The sequence below is a fragment of the Homo sapiens genome, chromosome 3 (assembly GCF_000001405.40).
Source record: "Homo sapiens chromosome 3, GRCh38.p14 Primary Assembly".
Lineage (NCBI taxonomy): Eukaryota > Metazoa > Chordata > Mammalia > Primates > Hominidae > Homo > Homo sapiens.
In genome coordinates this window covers 122,458,395-122,477,456 of record NC_000003.12, presented here as the reverse complement: position 1 = coordinate 122,477,456, position 19,062 = coordinate 122,458,395, and the positions used below count along the sequence as shown (strand labels likewise).

General features: G+C 36.5%; 1 protein-coding gene across 4 annotated transcripts in view; it reads left to right on the top strand.

Annotated features, from left to right (window-relative positions):
* Positions 1–19,062, top strand: part of KPNA1 (karyopherin subunit alpha 1) — a 93,038-nt gene that overhangs the window by 37,483 nt on the left and 36,493 nt on the right. For all 4 annotated transcript variants that reach the window (NR_026698.2, XM_005247437.5, XM_024453514.2 and 1 more), the window contains exons 3-5: positions 10,028–10,135; positions 13,416–13,515; positions 16,139–16,233. Coding sequence is in view for 3 of the 4 variants with exons in the window: in XM_005247437.5 (XP_005247494.1) it covers positions 10,028–10,135; positions 13,416–13,515; positions 16,139–16,233 (303 nt within the window). In the remaining variant the exon portion in view is untranslated. The remainder of the gene's footprint in view (positions 1–10,027; positions 10,136–13,415; positions 13,516–16,138; positions 16,234–19,062) is intronic.

Below are 19,062 nucleotides of genomic sequence, written 5' to 3'. Positions count from 1 at the left end.
AATTGCTGGGATTTCAGGTGTGAGCCATCATGCCTGGCTAATCTGTTGTCTTAACAGTCTTCAAATGTACAATATACTGTTATGAACTATAGTCACCATGTTGTACAATAGATCTCTTGAACTTACTCTTCCTAACTGAAATTTTGTATCCCTTCACCAACATCTCTCCAGCCTTTCCTGTCCCCAGCCCTCCACACTTATTAACAACCATTATACTCTCTACTTCTGTGAGTTTGGCTTTTTTAGATTCCACATAAAAGTGAGATGCTTATGTGGTCTTTCTGTATCTGTCTTATTGCCTTAACATAATATCCTCCAGGTTCATCCATGTTGTTGAAAATGATAGGATTTCTTTCATTTTTAAGAACGTCGGTCTGTTGTATATATAGACCACACTTTTTTGCTCCATTCATCTGAGATGGACACTTAGGTTGATTCCATATCTTGGCTATTGTGAATAATGTTACAGTGAACCTGGGAGTGCAGATATCTCTTTGACATACTGACTTCCTTTCCTTTGGATATATGCCCAGTAGTGGGATTGCTGGATCATATGGTAATTCTTTTTTTAGTTTTTTTTTTTTTTTTTTTTTTTGTGGAACCTCCATACTGTTTTTCATACTGGCTGTAATAAATTACATTCCCACCAGCGATGTGCAAGGGTTTCCTTTCCTCAGCATCCTCGCCAATATGTTATCTTTTGTCTGTTTGATGATTGTCATTCTAACAGGTATGAGGTAATACCTCATTATGGCTTCAATTTGTATTTCCCTGGTGATGAGTGATGGTGAGCATTTTTTTCATATACTTATTGGCCATTTTATGTCTTCTTTTTGAGAAATGACTAAGTTCTTTCCCTATTTTAAAATCAGGTTGTTTTCTTACTATTGAGTTATTTTTGAGTTCCTTATATATTTTGGATATTAACCCCTTATCTGATGTACGGTTTGCAAATATTTTCTTCTGTTGCATAAATTATCTCTTCACTCTTTTGATTCCTCTGCTGTGCTTTTTAAAAAGTTTGTTGTAACCCCATTTGTCGCCCTGCTTTTGTTGCCTGTGCTTTTGGGGTTCCATCCAAAAAATCATTGTCTAGACCAGTGTCAAGAAGCTTTTTCCCTATGTTTTACAGTTTCAGGTCTTAGTTTCAGTCTTTAATGCATATTGAATTAATTTTTGTTTATGGTGTGGGATAAAGGTTCAGTTTCTTTCTTGTGCACATGGATATCTAATTTTTTGAGCCCCATTTATTGAAGAGACTGTTCTTCCCCTATTGTGTGTTCTTGGCACCTTTGTAGAAAAATCAATTAATCATAAATGTGTGGATTTATTTCTGGGCTGTTTATTCTATTCCATTGCTTTATGTGTTCGTTTTCATGCCAAGACCTTGCTGTTTTGATTACTATAGTGTGTAACATACAGTTGACCCTTGAATAAGGTCTTGAACTGCTTGGGTCCACTTATATGCAGATTTTCCCCTGCCTTTGCCACTTCTGAGACAGCAAGACCAACCCTTCCTCTTCCCTCCTCCTCAGCTTACTCAACTTGAAGATGAGAAGATGAAGGCCCTTATGATGATCCACTTCCACTTTATGAATTGTAACTATATTTTCTCTTCCTTATGATTTTCTAAATAACATTTTCTTTTCTGTAGCTTACTTTATTGTAAAAAATACAGCATATAATACATATATCATGCAAAATGTGTTAATTTAGTGTTTAAGTCATTGATAAGGCTTCCAGTCAATGGTAGCATATTTGTAGTTAGGCTGTGGGGGAGTTAAAAGTTATATGTAGGTTTTTGACTGCGTAGGGGATTGGCTTCCCTAACGCCTGTGTCATTTAAGGGTCAATTGTATTTTGAAATCAGTCAGTGTGAAGCCTCCTCCTCTGTTCATTTTTGCTCCAGATTGCTTTGGCTATTTGGGGTCTTTTGTAGGTCCATATGAATTTTAGGATTTTAAAAAATTTCTGTGAGAAATGTCATTGGAATTTTGATGGAAGTTACATTGAATCTGTAGATAGCTTTGGTTAGTATGAACATGTTAATACTGTTCTTCTAATTCATGAACATAAGAATATCTTTCCATTCATTTATTTCAATTTGTTTCATCTGTGTTTTATGTAGTTTTTAATGTACAGGTCTTTCACCTCCTTGGCTAAATTTATTCCTAAGTATTTTATTTTATTTTTGTAGCCATTGTAAATGGGATTGTTTTCTTAATTTCTTTTTCAGATAGTTTGTTGTTAGTGTATGGAAATGCTACACGTTTTTGTTTATTGATTTTATATCCTACAACTTTCCTGAATCCATGTATTATTTCTAACAGTTTATTGGCGGAGTCTTCAGAGTTCTTTCCATGTAAGATATGTCTTCAGCAATCAGGGACAATTTCATTTCTTCCTTTTTAATTTAGATGCCTTTTATTTCTTTCTCTTGCCTAATTGCTCTGGCTAGGACTTCCAACACCATATTGAGTGAAGATGGCAAGAGTGGGCATCCTTGTCTTGTTTCTGATCTTAGAGGAAAAGCTTTCAACTTTTCACTGTTTAGTATGATGCTAACTGTTGGTTTGTCATATATGGCCTTTATTGTGTGGAGGTAAATTCTTTCTATACCTAATTTGTTGAGAGTTTTTATGAAAGGATGTTGAAATTTGTCTCATGCTTTTTCTGCATCTATTGAGATGATCATAGGTTTTTGTCCTTCATTCTGTTAATGTGATTCACATTCATAGATTTGCGTATGTTGAACCATCCTTGTATCCCTGAGGTAAATCCTACATGTTCATATTGAATGATCTTTTTAATGTGCTGTTTGTTGAATTTTGTTAGTGTTTCGTTGAACTCCAGCACCGTTTATTGAAAAGACTACCTTTGCACCATTGTATTTTATCCTTTTCTTTGTTGAAGATCATTGTACTAGATTTATGAGGTCTATTTCTGGGCTCTCTATTCTGTTTCATTGATCTGTTTGTCTAGTCTTTTGCCAATACCATGCTGTCTTGCTTACGATAAATCTTGAAGTTGGGTAGAGTCATTCCTCTAACTTTGTCCTTTTCCTTCAATATTTTGTTGGCTATTTTGGATCTTTTTCCTTTCCATATACATTTTAGAATCATCTTGGTGATAGAAAATAACTTTCTGGGATTGTAATTGCATTGAATCTATAGGTCTAGTTGGGAAGCACTGACATCTTGCCAATGTTGAGTCTTTCTTTATAGATAGGAATAATACCTCTCCAGTTATTTAGGTCTTTGATTTGTTTCATCAGAGTTTTGTAGTTTTCCTCATAGAAATCTCGTATATGTTTTGTTAGATTCATACCTAAGTATTCTGTTTTTTGGGGAGTGTAATGTAAATGACACTTTTTAATTTCAAATTCCCTTTATTCATTGCTGGTGTATAGGAAAGCAGTTGAATTTTGTATATTAACCTTCTGTCATGTAACCTTGCTATAATTGCTTATTAGTTCCAGAGGTTTTTTTATTGATTCTTTTGAATTCTCCATGTGGACGACTGTGTCATCAGAGAAAAAAAGATGGTTTTATTTCTTCTGTTCCCATCAGCATGCCTTTTTCCCTTTTCTTGTCTTACTGCATTCATTAGGACTTGCAATACAATGTTGAAAAGGAGTAGTGAGAGGAAATCTCCTTGTCTTGCTCCTGATCTTAGCAGAGAAGCTTCTAGTTTCATACCATTTAAGTATGATGTTAGCTGTAGGTTTTTTTCTGGATATTCCTTGTCAAGTTGAGGAATGAGAATTTTTAAAATCGTGAATGGGTGTTGGATTTTTTTTCATATGCTTCTTCTGCATCTATTGATATGGGTGTGTGATTTTTCTTCCTTAGTCTGTTGATGTGATGGATTTTATTAATGATTTTCAAATGTTGGACCAGTAATTTACACCTGGGATAAATCCCACTTGATCATGGTATATGATTCGTTTTATACATTGTTGGGTTTGTTTTGCTAATGTTTTGTTGAGGATTTTGCACCTGTGTTCATAAAAAATGTTGGTCTGTAGTTTTGTTATAATGTATATTTGTCAAGTTTTGGAATACTCTGATGTTGGCCTCTACTGAATGAGTTAGGAAGTATTCCTTCTGCTTCTATCTTGTGTAGGAGATGGTACAGAATGGGTATAATTTCTTTCCTAAATGTTTTATAAAATTCACCAGCAAACCCATCTAGTCCTGGTGTTTTCTGTTTTGGAAGGTTGATTGGTTCAGTTTCTTTAATACAGGCCTATTCAGATTGTTTCTTGTGTGAGTTTTGGTAGTTTGTGGCTTTCAGGGAAGTGGTTCATTTTATCTAGGTGATCAAATTTGTGGAAATAGAATTGTTCATAGTATTCTTTTTTTATTTTTATTTTTTTGAGACAGAGTCTCGCTGTTACCTAGGCTGAAGTGTAGTGGTGCAATCTTGGCTCACTGCAACCTCTGCCTCCCGGGTCCAGGTGATTCTGGTGCCTCAGCCTCCTGAGTTGCTGGGATTACAGGCGCCCGCCACCACACCTGGCTAATTTTCATATTTTTAGTGGAAACGGGGTTTTGCCGCGTTGGCCACACTGGTCTTGAACTCCTGATCTCAAGTGATCTGCCTGCCTCAGCCTCCCAAAGTGCTGGGATTACAGGTGTGAGCCAGTATACTGTGCCTGGCCAGTATTATTTTATTGTCCTTTTAATGTTCATGAGATTTGTAGTGATTTTCTTTCTTTGAGTTCTGATATTAGGAGTTTGTGTCCTCTGTCTTTTTGTTAGTCTACTTGGCTAGAGGTTTATGATTTAATTGGTCTTTTCAAAGAACCAGCTTTTGGTTTTTTCATTGATTTTTCTCAGTTGATTTCCTGTTTTCAGTTACATTGATATCTGCTCTTGTTTTTATTCTTCTGCTAACTTTGGATTTAATTCGCTGCTTCTTTTTCTGTTTTTTTTAAGGTGATTGATTAGGTGATTTTAGATCTTTTGTCTTTTCTGGTAAATGCATTCAATGCTATGAATTTCCCTCTAAGCACTGCTTTCACGTCATCCCATAGATTTTGATAAGTTGTGTCTTCATTTTCATTTAGCTCAAAATATTTTAAAATTTCTCTTGAGATCTCTTTTTTGACCTATGTGTTATTAGAAGTGTGTTGTTTAATCTCCAAGTACTTGGGTTTTTTTTAAAAATTATATTTCTGTTATTGATTTGTAATTTAATTTTATTGTGACCTGAGAGGAGGCATTTTATAACTTGTTCTTTTGAATGTGTTAAGGTTTGTTTTATGGCCCAGAATGTGGTCTATCTTGATGAATATCCTATGAGTGTAAAAATGTGTATTCTGTTATTTCTTCTGTGACATAATCTGTGAATGTTCATTATATCCAGTTGATTAATGTTGAGTTCAATTATGTCCTTACTGGTTTTCTCCCTGCTTGATCTGGCCGTTTCTGATAGAGAGGTGTTGAAGTGTCCAACTATAATAGTGAATTCATTTATTTCTCTTTGCAATTCTATCAGTTTTTGCCTACACAGACACTTTGTTGTTAGGCTTATACACGCTAAGCATTGTTATGTCTTTTTATCCTTATTTTTATCCTTGATAAAAGTTATCCTTGATAACTTAACTTGTCTTATCTGCTGTGTCTGAAATTATTACGGACAACTCCGCTTTCTTTTTTTGAGACAGTCTCGCCCTGTGGCCCAGGCTGGAGTGCAGGGGCGCGATCTCGGCTCAATGCAATCTCTGTCTCCCAAGACATGTACCACCATGCCTGGCTAATTTTTGTATTTTTAGTAGAGATGGGGTTTTGCTATGTTGGCCAGGCTCGTCTTGAACTCTTGGCCTCGTGTGATCTGCCTGCCTTGGCCTCCCAAAGTGCTGGGATTACAGGCATGAGTCACCACGTCTGGCCAACTCCGCTTTCTTTTAATTGGTGTTAATATGATATATATTTCTCCATCTATTTACTTTTAATCTGTGTTTTTATTTAAAGTGGGTTTCTTGTAAACCACATCCAGTCGGTTCTTGTTTTGTGATCCACTTCGACAGTCTCTTTTAGTCTTTATTTTTTGCCAAAATGCCGATTTATTTAGAATATTGAACTGAATATTAACTGTCAAATTGAAATCAGTGAAGGAAAACATTGTATAAGCAAAACAGTTTGCATTTTGGGACATACTGCAAACTTTCAAGGAATTGCGGGACTAAATATAAAGGTGTAGAGTGATTATGTTGACAAATATAAAGGTATTTTATAGCTGACCTCTTCCATTTCCTGCCCTTACTCTCACCCCTGCATTGTATGCAGGCCCAGCTTCTATGTCAGAACCTGCATTTCTTTATCTGAGGACTTTCTGTGGCCACTGAATTCCAATTTTGCATCTGTGTGACAAGTTGCAGGTACTAGGAAATTAACATTCCCCAACAACCTTGAACCAATGATGGAAGATGATATATAAATAATACTCCAGTTCCCTCACCCCTGAATAGGATGACTCCAAGATGTATCTGACAATCTCTTTTAATTGGTGCACTTAGACTATTGACAGTCAAAGGAATTGCAAAGATAGTTGGATTGATATTTACCATATTTGTTACTGATTTCTATTTGTTAGCCTTTTTTTTTTGTTTCTAGTTTTGTCTTTCACTCTTTTTCTGCCTTTGTGGTTTTAATTGAGCATTTTATATGATTTCCATTTTCTGTTCTTTCTTAGCATATCAATTGTACTTTTTTACTTTGCTTAGTGGTTGTCCTAGAATGTCCTAGATTGTAAATGTATATTTACAACTACCTCAAATCTGCTTTAAAATAACACTATACCTTTTAACAGGTAGTGTATCTTACTATAAGATAATCCTGTTTCTCCCTTCCATTCCTTGTATCATTGCTGTTAACTCATTTAACTTTTTTTAAAAATTTTTATTTATTTATTTATTTATTTATTTGTTTATTTATTTTTGAGACGGAGTCTTACTCTGTTTCCCTGGCTGGAGTGCAGTGGTGCGATATTGGCTCACTGCAAGCTCCACCCCCCGGGTTCACGCCATTCTCCTGCCTCAGCTTCCTGGGTAGCTGGGACTACAGGCGCCCGCTGCCACGCCCGGCTAATTTTTTGTATTTTTAGTAGAGATGGGGTTGCACTGTGTTAGCCCAGATAGTCTCAATCTCCTGACCTCATGATCCACCCGCCGCCTCCTCCCAAAGGGCTGGGAGTACAGGTGTGAGCCACCGTGCCCCGCCTACTTATTTAGCTTATACAGAAATGTTTGTAATCTTATGTATATACACATTAGCTTACATAATCAAATGCATTGTTGCTATTTTAAACAAAATTTTACCTGCTAAATCAATTTTTAAGATGTTTTAATTTTACATTCACTTATTCATTCTTTGATGTTCTTCCTTTATGTAGATCCAAGTTTCTGACCTGTATCATTTCCTTTTTGCCAAAGAATTTCGTTTAACATTTCTTGCAAAGCAGGTCTACTGACAATAAATTTCCTTAGTATTCTGAAAAAAATCTTTATTTTTGTTTCCACTTTTGAAGGATGATTTTGCAAGGTTCAGAGTTTCTAGGTTGGTGGTTTTCTCTCTCAACACTTCAAATATTTCACTTCACTTTCTTCTGGCATGTGTGGTTATCATTCTTATCTTTATTCATGTGTTAAGTACAGTGTTTTTACCCTTGTCTTTTAGGATTGTTTTTCCTTTATTTCTGATTTTCTGTTGTTTGAAAATGATATCCCTAGGTGTAGTGGGATTTTTTTGGCCTTTGTCCAGCTTGGTGTTCTCTGGGCTTCCAGTGGTTTTGTTCCCAGACCAAACTGGGTTGGGCTGCTGTTTCTCATGGCCCAATAACAAGATGCAGATGAACTGGGGAGGAAGAGAGTTTTTATTTTTGTACCTGGTTACAGGGAGAAGGCCTAGAAATTATTGCCAGACCAACTCGAAATTACAAAGTTTTCCAGATATTATATACCTTTTAAGCTATATGTCTGCGTGTAAGTGTGTATTCATCTAAAGACATAAGTGATGAAACTTCTTTTAATCTGTAACTAAGGTCTGAGTCTTGAAGACCTTCCTCTGGAGTCTCAGTAAATTTACTTAATCTAGGTGCTGAGGTGATTACCCTTATCTTGTCTCCTGCTCGTGGAGGTTTGGGGAGTTCTTTCAGACATCCAATAAACTTGTTTGTGGAGGCCTGGGGAATTTCTTTGTTATGCTTTAAGGCCCAGGAAAGGCCTAGGCAAAACTCTTGGTGGGCTTTTGTTAGATTCCAGCCTTTGTATAAGGGCACTGGCTTTTTTTAGCTTTTAATATTTAACTTAACCAGTCAGTCAGTACTGAAACAGTTGTTATGGAGCCCTGCATTAATGAGACATGGCCTGCTACAGTTTGGTGTCTGATACTAATTTGGGGGAAATTCTCAGTCATTATTGTGTCAAATATTTCTTTTGTTCTTTCCTCTCCTCCTGATAGTTCCATTCCATGTTTATTATACCATTTGTAGTTGTTTCAGTTCATAGATACTCTGTTCTATTTGTGTCAGTCCTTTTTCTGTTTTCTTTTCAGTTTTAAAGATTTCGAATGAGATTTCCTTAAGCTCAGAGATTATTTCCTTAGCTGTGTCTTGTTTACTAAAAAGTCGATCAAAGGCATTCTTCATTTCTGTTGTTGTTGATCTCTTGCATTTCTTTTTAGTTCTTTTTTAGAATTTCCATCTCTCTCCTTACATTGCCTATCTGTTCTTGTATGCTGTCCACTTTATCCATTTAAAGCCCTTAGCATATTAATCGTAGTTTTAAATTCTTGGTCCGATAATCTCAACATCACTGCCGTGGCTGAATCTGGTTCTGATACTTGCTCTGTCTCTTCAAAATGTGTTTTTTATATTTTAGTATGCCTTGTAATTTTTTCTTGATAGCTGGACATGTACTGGGTAAAAGAAACTACTGTTAAATAGGCCTTTGGTAGGTGGTTTTGGTATTAAGAGTAATGCTGATCTCCTAGAATGAGTTGAGAAGTACTGTCTCTGCTTCTGTCTTCTGAAAGAATATGATTATGTGCTGATTAGTATTAAGTTAAATCTCAGAGAGAACCTCCTGTAGATCTTGGGTGTTCTTTTTGTGTTGTACTCTGCGTTATGAATTTTAGGTCTCTTGGCCTTCTCAGCTCTGAACTGTGTTTTCTCAAATCCAAGGAGCATCTAAACTCTGGTTGAGTTTACCTTTCCTGCACTGCAGCCTGGAACTGTCTGCATAGTAATCTGAGGCAGTATTGGGGCTTATCTTGGGTTTTTCTTTCTGAGATATCACTACTCTGTGGTTTTTATTGTCCAATGGCTGAAACATTATTTTATGTATTTTGTCTGTTTTTAGTTGTTCAGCGTGAGAGAGGGTAAGTTACTGTTACTCCATCATGGCTTGATGAATAAATGTGCTGCCCAGGATTCATAAGGATATAATGGTAATCACCCTCGTTGGCTGACTTTGGAGAGAACTAGTCTCCTTTGCCTATACACATTAACGGAGCTGCTTTAAAGGTAGTGCTTAAGCAGTCATCATTTGTTGCCACTGGTTGCTGGATAGGTTGGGAAGGTCAGAAGCCACAGTCCACCATCTTTGGAGATTAGGAGGGAAGTATTAAGTCATTTGAACATAGTTTTTATTTTCATTTTCCTTGGTACATTGTTAGGACTGTCCTGATGTATACTTTACATAAAGGGATGAGGAAAATGGCCAAGCATGACCCAGCTCCTTTTTCCAACCTTTTTTTTTTTAATGTCATATAGTGTCAGACCTCTCTTAGTAAGTTTTACATTATCAAGTGTTGTTTATAGCATGTTGTAATAGTTAATTATATTTGATTATAAGACTATGGAGAAATCTGAAATGGTTACTCATCAGTAAAAGCTGACAGCTTTAGAATTTTAAAAATGATTTTCAAAGACTTCACTTTGAATGGGGTGCCTAGTATTTGAATGTTGAACTCCCTTGTGTTAGAATTTACATTTACATTGCTACCAATCTTTTATCTTTCAGTTATTCAAGCGGAGAAATGTTGCTACAGCAGAAGAAGAAACAGAAGAAGAAGTTATGTCAGATGGAGGCTTTCATGAGGCTCAGATTAGTAACATGGAGATGGCACCAGTAAGATAATGAACTCTTTTCAGTGTTTTTGTGATGAAGATATGAGATGTAGATTTCCTTTTGAGTTTTAAAAAAGGTTAGATGGCTACAAAAAGTACTTGGCATTTCATTTTTAAAAAGAATATGCTTAATCTCATGGTTCATTAAATGTTTATTATATTTTGGATAAAGTGCAGTTAAATTATAAAGATTAATTCTGCTCTAAAAACTTAACAAGCTAATTATAAGATAAAATTACTCTTTAAAAGTTGAATAAGAATAGACACCTTATTTATTTATTTATTTATTTATTTATTTATTTATTTATTTATTTATGTTTTAGAGACAGGGTCTTGCTGTGTTGCCCAGGTTGGAGTGCAGTGGCGCAATCGTAGGTCACTGCAACCTCGAACTCCTGGGCTTAAGTGATCCTCCTGCTTTAGCCTCCCAAATAGCTGGGACTACAGGCATGTGCCACCATGACTGGCAAATTTTTAAATTTTTTGTGGAGACAGGATCTCACTGTGTTGCCCAGGTGAACTCCTGGCCTCAAGTGATCCTTTTGCCTTGGCCTCCCAAAGTGCTAGAATTACAAGCTTGAGCCATCACACCAAGCCATAAGAGATACTTTAAAGAAAATAATGATTTTTTATTGATTTACAAAATTGACCTGTTTGTATGATTTAAAAACTTGATTCCACATCAGAACTCTTGGATTTTTCTGTTGTAAACCATTTTGTTACTTTTTTGAAGTTAACATGAAGAGATAAAAGTCATGCTTTATTTGTATGGATTAGACCTATCTAGATTTCTAGAGTATTGTAATTACGTAATTTTAAAAATAGGTTATATATGTGTACATATATATATATGTGTACACACACACAGTTTTTTTAAAAAGAAAATTATCTCCTAAAAGGTACTGTTGTTTGTAGTAACAAAAAAAGTACAATTAAAAAAAATGAAGAAAAATCTTTCTTCCGCTTAGCCACCTAGTATTTTTCTCCATTGGCAACTAGTATTACTAAATTCCTATTTATTCTTTCTGAGAACTTTTGTATATTAAAATGTTCTCCTCTCCCCCACCTTTTTTTTTGGTAAATGGTGGCATACTATTCATAGTATTTTGTAGTTTTTATTTTTATTTCATTTCATAGATCTCCAGTTTACATGAACCAGCTTTCTTTGAGAGTTGGGAGGGTAGTATTATTTCCTTTGGAATTCATACAGACATAGCCAATGCCATCATTTTGTGATGAAAGTTTCTAGGCCCTTCAGAAAGCCAGTCTTTCCAATTTTTTTAAGAAGAGAGTGTTAAGTGAATATAAAGTGTTTTATGGATTGTATTAGGGTTCTCCAGAGAAACAGAACCAATGAGAGAAAGAAATTTAGTTTAAGAAAGTGGCTCGTGTCTTTGGGAGCTGGCAAGTGTGAAATCTGTAGGGCACACTGGCCCACTATAAATTCAGGTTAAGAGTTGATGTTGTTGAATCCCTTTTCTTCAGAAAACCTAGTCTTTGCTTTTAAGGGTTTCAACTGATTGGATGAGGCCAACTTGGACTACAGGCGTGCGCCACTACCCCCAGCTAATTTTTTTGTAGTTTTAGTAGAGACAGGGTTTCACCATATTGGCCAGGTTGGTCTTGAACTCCTGACCTCGTGATCCACCCGCCTTGGCTTCCCAAAGTGTTGGGATTACAGGCGTGAGCCACCGCACCCAGCCAGATTACAACTTTCCTTTGTGCAACTAAAAATGTATGGATGGTTCTTGACTTAGGAGGGTTCAAGTCAGGATTTTTCAACTTTACAGTGGTGTGAAAGCAATATGCAATCAGTAGGAACTGTATTTTGAATACCCATACAGTCACTCTGTTTCTCATTTTCAGTACAGTATTAAGTAAATTACACGAGATAGTCAACCACTTTATTATAAAATAGGCTTTGTGTTAGATCATTTGTTCAGCTGTAGGCTAATGTATGTGTTCTGAGCATGTTTAAGGTAGGCTAGGCTAGGCAATGAAGTTTGGTAGGTTAGGTGTATTAAGTGTACTTTTTACTTAATATTTTCAACTTATGATGGGATTAGTGGGGCATAACCCCATTCATTGTAAGTTGAGGCACATCTTTACTAACTCCTTCTGCGGAAGAGGATGCAAAATCTTTGGGTGATGTTCACTCCTGTCCTTGATAGCCTGTGACTTAAATATTATAATGTAAAGTTAACAATACTTAAATAGTGTAATGTAAAGTCAGTACAGCTTGCTATAAGAGGATGAGAGAGGGAAGAAAAAGATATTTGCTTAATGTGTGTATATATATATATGAATGTGTTTATGCAAACATATTCATAACAAATCATATAGAAACCTTGATTTAGGAATCAGTCTTGCAATTTTGAAAATAGTTACTTTTCTGATTCTTGAGTAGAATGCGTCATATATTCCCCTATGAGGATTCTTAGGTATTGCTTACCAGTCATCTAGCATTTACAGCTTAGTGCAGCTTTCTTCACAATTCATCTTGTTGACTGCTACCCTTCATGAAATAAGAACTTTGTTTCTTTCTGACAAATGACCCTGAGAAGAAAATTAACTGCTAATACTGGGGATGAGTTATGGTGGGAAATGGAAACATTCTAATAAAGCAAGAAGGTAGTGGGAAACTGGAAAGTTTTAATAAAACAAGAAAGAAATTTTAAATAAGTTTAAGAGTCAGCTGTTGAATTTGGCAGTGGCTGGATTTATACAGGACCACTCTATTTACTCACTCAATAAGTATTGCAGAGCATTTACAGTACACCAGCCCTTAGTGATAGAGTAAGACAGACAGGGTCTTGGGCTTACAAGGAAGTTACAGTATACTGGAGGAACACAGAAAAATATCTGGGAGTGTAATAAGGGCTGGGGCATACGATTGAAATATGGTGCTGTGATAGAGATAAAGTGGCTACTTTAGGCTTGGAGGTCTTGAAAAGCCATCTTTTAAAACTTAACATTTAATTTTGATAAGAAAGAATAGCCAGCTATGTGATGAGCAAGGAGGGGAAGAGCAATAAGCTCCTTGTCTTATTTACTAGTAAGATCACTTTCTACTGTGAGCTTTTTAATGATAGACAAAGAATTTGGCTTCATTATATTATTAATAATCTTACACGTTTCTATATGTAAAGATTGTCCTACCTTTATGTAACTTCTGGGGAAGTATGATTAACTTAATAACTTGGCCATGATATCTGTTATCTTTCTTTCCTTTGAATTAAGGGTGATAATTTATTATATGTTCTTTTTGTTTGTGATCGCAGGGTGGTGTCATCACTTCTGACATGATTGAAATGATATTTTCCAAAAGCCCAGAGCAACAGCTTTCAGCAACACAGAAATTCAGGAAGCTGCTTTCAAAAGGTGAGCTATGAATATGTTCAGTATATTTTTTCATCTCTCTACAAAATTACTTTCCCATAGTCTGTTTTTCATACCACAGGTAATTTGTGTTGGAGTATTTTTATCAATAAAAGAATAAAAATACAGACATATATGTAATTGTGAACCATGCCTAAATTTTAAGTTTCCTATTTATTTGTGGGATCTCACCAGGATCAGAAAACAGAATTATTTTCATTTTTGGGTTATTTTATAAAAGACTTTATAGTGAATAGTAGTCAGTATCATGTTAATTCAAATTGAGAGACTGACTTTTTTTTATAGAGTGACTTTAAAAATACTCCTTGAAAGAGTTATGATTGTTGATTTTAATGTTAGCAATTTACCACTGAAAGTTAGGAATGCATTTACTGGTGGGCAGGGTGATTACCTTTTTTTTTTTTTTTAAAGACGGCTCTGTTGCCAGTCTGGAGTGCAGGCTGGGCGCGATCTTGGCTCACTGCAACCTCCGACTCCCTGGTTCAAGCGATTTTCCTGCCTCAGTCTCCCGAGTAGCTGGGATTACAGTTACACGCCACCACCCCCAGCTAATTTTTGTATTTTTTTTTTTTTTTTGAGATGGAGTCTCACTCTGTCGCCCAGGCTGGAGTACAGTGGCGCTATCTCGGCTCACTGCAAGCGCCGCCTCCCGGGTTCACGCCATTCTCCTGCCTCAGCCTCCCAAGTAGTTGGGACTACAGGCGCTCGCCACCGTGCCCAGCTAATTTTTTGTATTTTTAGTAGAGACGGTGTTTCACTGTGTTAGCCAGGATCTCGATCTCCTGACCTTGTGATCCTCCTGCCTCGGCCTCCCAAAGTGCTGGGATTACAGGCGTGAGCCACTGCGCCCGGCCTTTTTTGTATTTTTAGTAGAGATAGGATTTCACCATGTTGGCCAGGATGATCTCGATATCCTATCATGATCCGTCTGCCTCTGCCTCCCAAAATACTGGGATTACAGGCATGAGCCACCGCACCCGGCTGGTAAGTACTTTTTTTGATATAATTAGTGTAGAATGGAATCTGATACTTGTTATCAACCTGGGCAAGTAAAAAGAATTCTGAACCCGATTATAACGTTGGTAGTAAATACTTAAACCCCCCAGTATTAAGTTATGGTTGTTTAGAGTCATTAGTGATTTAAAAAAATTTAATATATCCCTTGAGGTTAAGTGGAATAAAAAACTACTACTATGACAAAAAAATATTGTCTTTTGCAGACCGCTTATTAAAAATATTTGAAGGAAATGTACACTTCCTCACCCCTTTTAAAAAAGTCTTATCTCTTTCAACATGCTAAGCTTAATGGTTTTCTTCTGTAATGTGCTTTTTTTTTTTTTTAAGGGCTTTCACCATTCTGCTACCTTCCTGCATGTATTCTGGTTTGCCAGCATACCTCTTAAAAATGTGATAACTAGAATCCAATATTTCAGATGTGTTGTTATTAATGTAGGGTATGGTGAGAGGTTACCTTCTTTGCCCTAAGAGTGTCTATTTTGATAATGTAGTCCAAGGTAGCTAGTTATTTTGATAGTCATGGCATAGTAATATTTTATTGAATTTTCAGCAAACTAAACTCCCTAGTGCTTTTGTTCACGAACTGTTGTTAGGTTTTGTTTGTGAAGTCATGTAGATTTTTAAAAATTGCCATTTAAAAAACTTAGATGCTGAACTTTGCTTTATTTCTGTTTTTTTTTGTTGTTGTTGTTGCCTATTCTGACTTATTGTTCTTTTTCTGTGTTATTTCTGTAACTCAGCATATTAACTAGTTTATTGTAATCATCAAATTTGTTTTTTTGTGCTTACCTGCGTGGTTAATATAAATGTTCAACCAGGTAAATGACATGTCATTAGAGTCCTTTCCAAATGAACATTGAACCATTAGTCACCTCTTTCAGTAAGGCCATCGACTTGGGTAAGAATCTCCCTAGTAGTATTGTGATCTAATTGCCATTTTTCTGGCATTGCCACACGCATATTGTCAGTAACTTTGTCAGTCTCTGGCTGAAGTTATTAATCTGATTGTCTATGACATTTCCCTCCTATTTGCCTTATAAGTTTTTATTGAGTGACATCATTTATAGGATACTGTATTATCATGAATGAAAGTGAGACTAAGTTGGCAAGTCAATCTTCGTGAATTCTTGCTAGCTCCTACAGGTACAAAATTAAATTCTGCAGGCCTATTGAGAATCTTGTAATGCAATTCCTTAAGATGATTTACAACAGACAAGAGCAGTTAGACTTAAAACTCATGTACAGGAAACAGGCTAGAAGGAAGTATACCAGAACACTTAACAATGGTCTTTTGAGGGGTTTTTTGCCCCCTGCTTTTTAGGTTTTCTAAAAAGTGGAGGCAGTAATTTAATTTTTAAGAATTTTTCCCATCCTTTATTCTCATATTGAGACTTGTCTTCATTGTGAAACATTTCAGACTACCCTGTCCTCAAAGTGATAAACCCAATTTGACATTTCATTTGTTTTAGGTAGATTTCCAGCATGAGAGATGGTAAATGGAGGGAGGGATGTTAAGAAGTTTTGAGCTGTTAAGTTCTTGCATTGAAATCAAAGGATTTTTTTTTTCTTTTATTTTATGGGGAAACAGAACCTAACCCTCCTATTGATGAAGTTATCAGCACACCAGGAGTAGTGGCCAGGTTTGTGGAGTTCCTCAAACGAAAAGAGAATTGTACACTGCAGGTGCGAATAATTTTTATTTATTGCCTCATAACTTAATTCCTTTTGAAAATTTTTATTTTGTACACAAATTTGTTACTAATTTTTATCTGTATGAAGAATTAAGTTTGTTTATAATGATATTCCTGACAACTACATTGCAAGCTGCTTTCATAGCTTTGTTAACATGTAGGCCTTCGTTATACTCTTTATTATTATTATAATTTTTAATCATTTAAAATGTTTATGATTGTGGATAATACTTCTCTAATAGGGAAATGTTTACAGCAGAGGAGCCATTACAGCCAGGAACTTATGTGTGGGCTACATAAAATTTGGTGTTGAGGGAGTTTTAGATGATACTTGGTGGCTTTCTCAGGATGGTGTAACATGGGCTAGATCAGAGTCTTATTAATTCCCAAATCTGTTCCTAATTAATTCTTCCTCCACCCCACAAAAAGCCGATAAGGAGATAACTTTGTCAGGAATCTGTGTACTTATTGCTGTGTCAATTTAGGCTTTCAGTACTGTACTATATAAGGGATTCCAAGAGGAAATTTTGTAATCTCTGGATTCAGAATTTTCTTTTTTTTTTTTTTCTTCTTTTTCTTGAGACAGAGTCTTGCTCTGTCGCCCATGCTGGAGTGCAGTGGCAAGATCTCAGCTCACTGCAAATTCCATCTCCCAGATTCAAGTGATTCTCCTGCCTCAGCCTCCCATGAAGCTGGGATTACAGGCAGCCACCACCATATCCAGCTAATTCTTTTATTTTTAGTAGAGATGAGGTTTTGCCATGTTGGCCAGGCTGGTCTCAAACTCCTGACCTCAAGTGATCCACCTGCTTGGCCTCCCAAAGTGCTGGGATTACAGGTGTGAGCCACTGCTCCCAGCCAAGTATTCAATAATTTTCATAAGAAAAGAAACCAACAGTCAGCTGACTCTCATCCTAGAAATTCTAAACTACTATTTTTTTTCCCCCTGGATAAAGTTGGGTTTTTAGAAACTGATGATTTTTTAGTAAACTTCCCTGGAGTAACCAACTGAGTCAGTGCCTTTATTAGTTACAAATACATGTGATCCCTAAATTCTCACCTGTAGGATCTAATCTCAAAGGCTTGGGCCCTGAGACTATGCAGCTATAAAAATTGGTTAGGTACCAAGTTGATCACAAAATGGGATTATCTTTCTAAGTAAATATTTGCCAAAAACTAGTTAATCAAAGATATCCCCCACCCCTTGTGTGCTGTTCTTTACTCTAAGGCTGGAGCCATGTAGACACTGGGGCATTTTTGTTAAGTGATAGCTCCTGTCCCCAGGTTCCTTACTGTCTACACCATTATAGATTATTCATACAACTTGATGATTTGCCTTGATGTTTTCTCTCCTTTCCTCCTATCCCTTCTTTCTCTTTGTTTTACACTCTTTGTTGCGGTGATGAGTTCCTTCCAGAGGAAAAACAAGAAATCCAGAAAAGGTAGAGTACTTCAATGTCACATCAGTTTTTCTTCTCCAGTTTGACACTTACCAGTTCCCATGCTCATTTGAATTAAGGTTCTGTTTTGCTAGCTGCCTCCTGGATTGTAATTCTGGTCCCCATCTAAGGCCAGGATCATCAGACACCTGAAAAATAATCACGTTCACCCTGAGAGCAAGGGAAGAGAGACTTTTCTCAGGATAAAAGGAAATCCAGACAACCAACACTGCAGAGAACAGAGCCTGATCCCCTAAGCAACCTGCCGAGAACCAGAGGGACCAAATGAGGAACCTTACTGCAGTTTATCATTTGAAATGCTTTGTAGGAAGAGGGAGGTAGGGAAAATTATTTTGTTCATGCTGAAAAAAGTGTTTCTTTCCTGTCTCTGGGAATGAGAGTAGATGAGAGATACTGAATTTACTCCTTGATCTGGCGGTTTTTATTAGGTGGTAGTTCTTTTATGCATTAAATATAGATGGTATATAACCTTTCAGATCTAAAATGAAAAAAGTCGGAGAAATGGATCTTTCCCCATCTCTGCATTCCCTTGTACTCCTTAAAAAGTACAAGTACATTCTCCGACAGTGCCCTCTTCTGGCTAAGACATTCTACATCTTTTTTTAATTCATTACTCTGTAATCTTGGAACTTGTATTTTAACACATCTGAAGATGAAAGCCTTCAGAAATCTCTAATTTGCTTCTATGTAAACTCCCAGATTCCACCCTTGTGCAAACTAATAATTAGGCTGAAATATTGCAAAATGATTCCTCCGGAAGTGATAACCTCATGATTTTATGAGGATAGTCTTAGCTGTCCTAACTCTGAGAAATAACCAACTGTTTGTTATCTAAGGGCCATCTCTAGCTTTTTTATGTGCACATTTAAGGACACCATGGTGTTCTCCCTCCACTGTGACTAGTGGGGACCTTTGACCACCTCAGAAGCAAGGGGGCAAATATATCGAGAGAGACCTTAAAGCCAGGAGACTTGATGATCTACCATGCTTTCAAATAATTAGACATGCTCTGGGAAGCTTGGAGGTTACTCCTTCCTCTGCCTTCTTGGAGAGCAGACAGATGTAAGCTATCCCTGATACTCTTACCTGCTTACTAGAACTTGAATAATGCACCTTTGGAATAGGGCTTTTGTCATTTCTCTTCCAGAAGGAGAGTCATGCTATGTGGTGCCAAGAGGAAATTTGATGGCTCAGCTCACTAATAAATCTTGTGGACAAACTTAATTTCTTCATTCCATAGATAAAGAACTGTGAATCCTATTGAAGGGTCTTTTTATGTTCTTTCTGGCTTCCCAAGTCAGTAAGGTACCTCAAACCAGGGAGATAAAAGTGCCTGCTTTGAGCATTGCTACCCAGGTGCT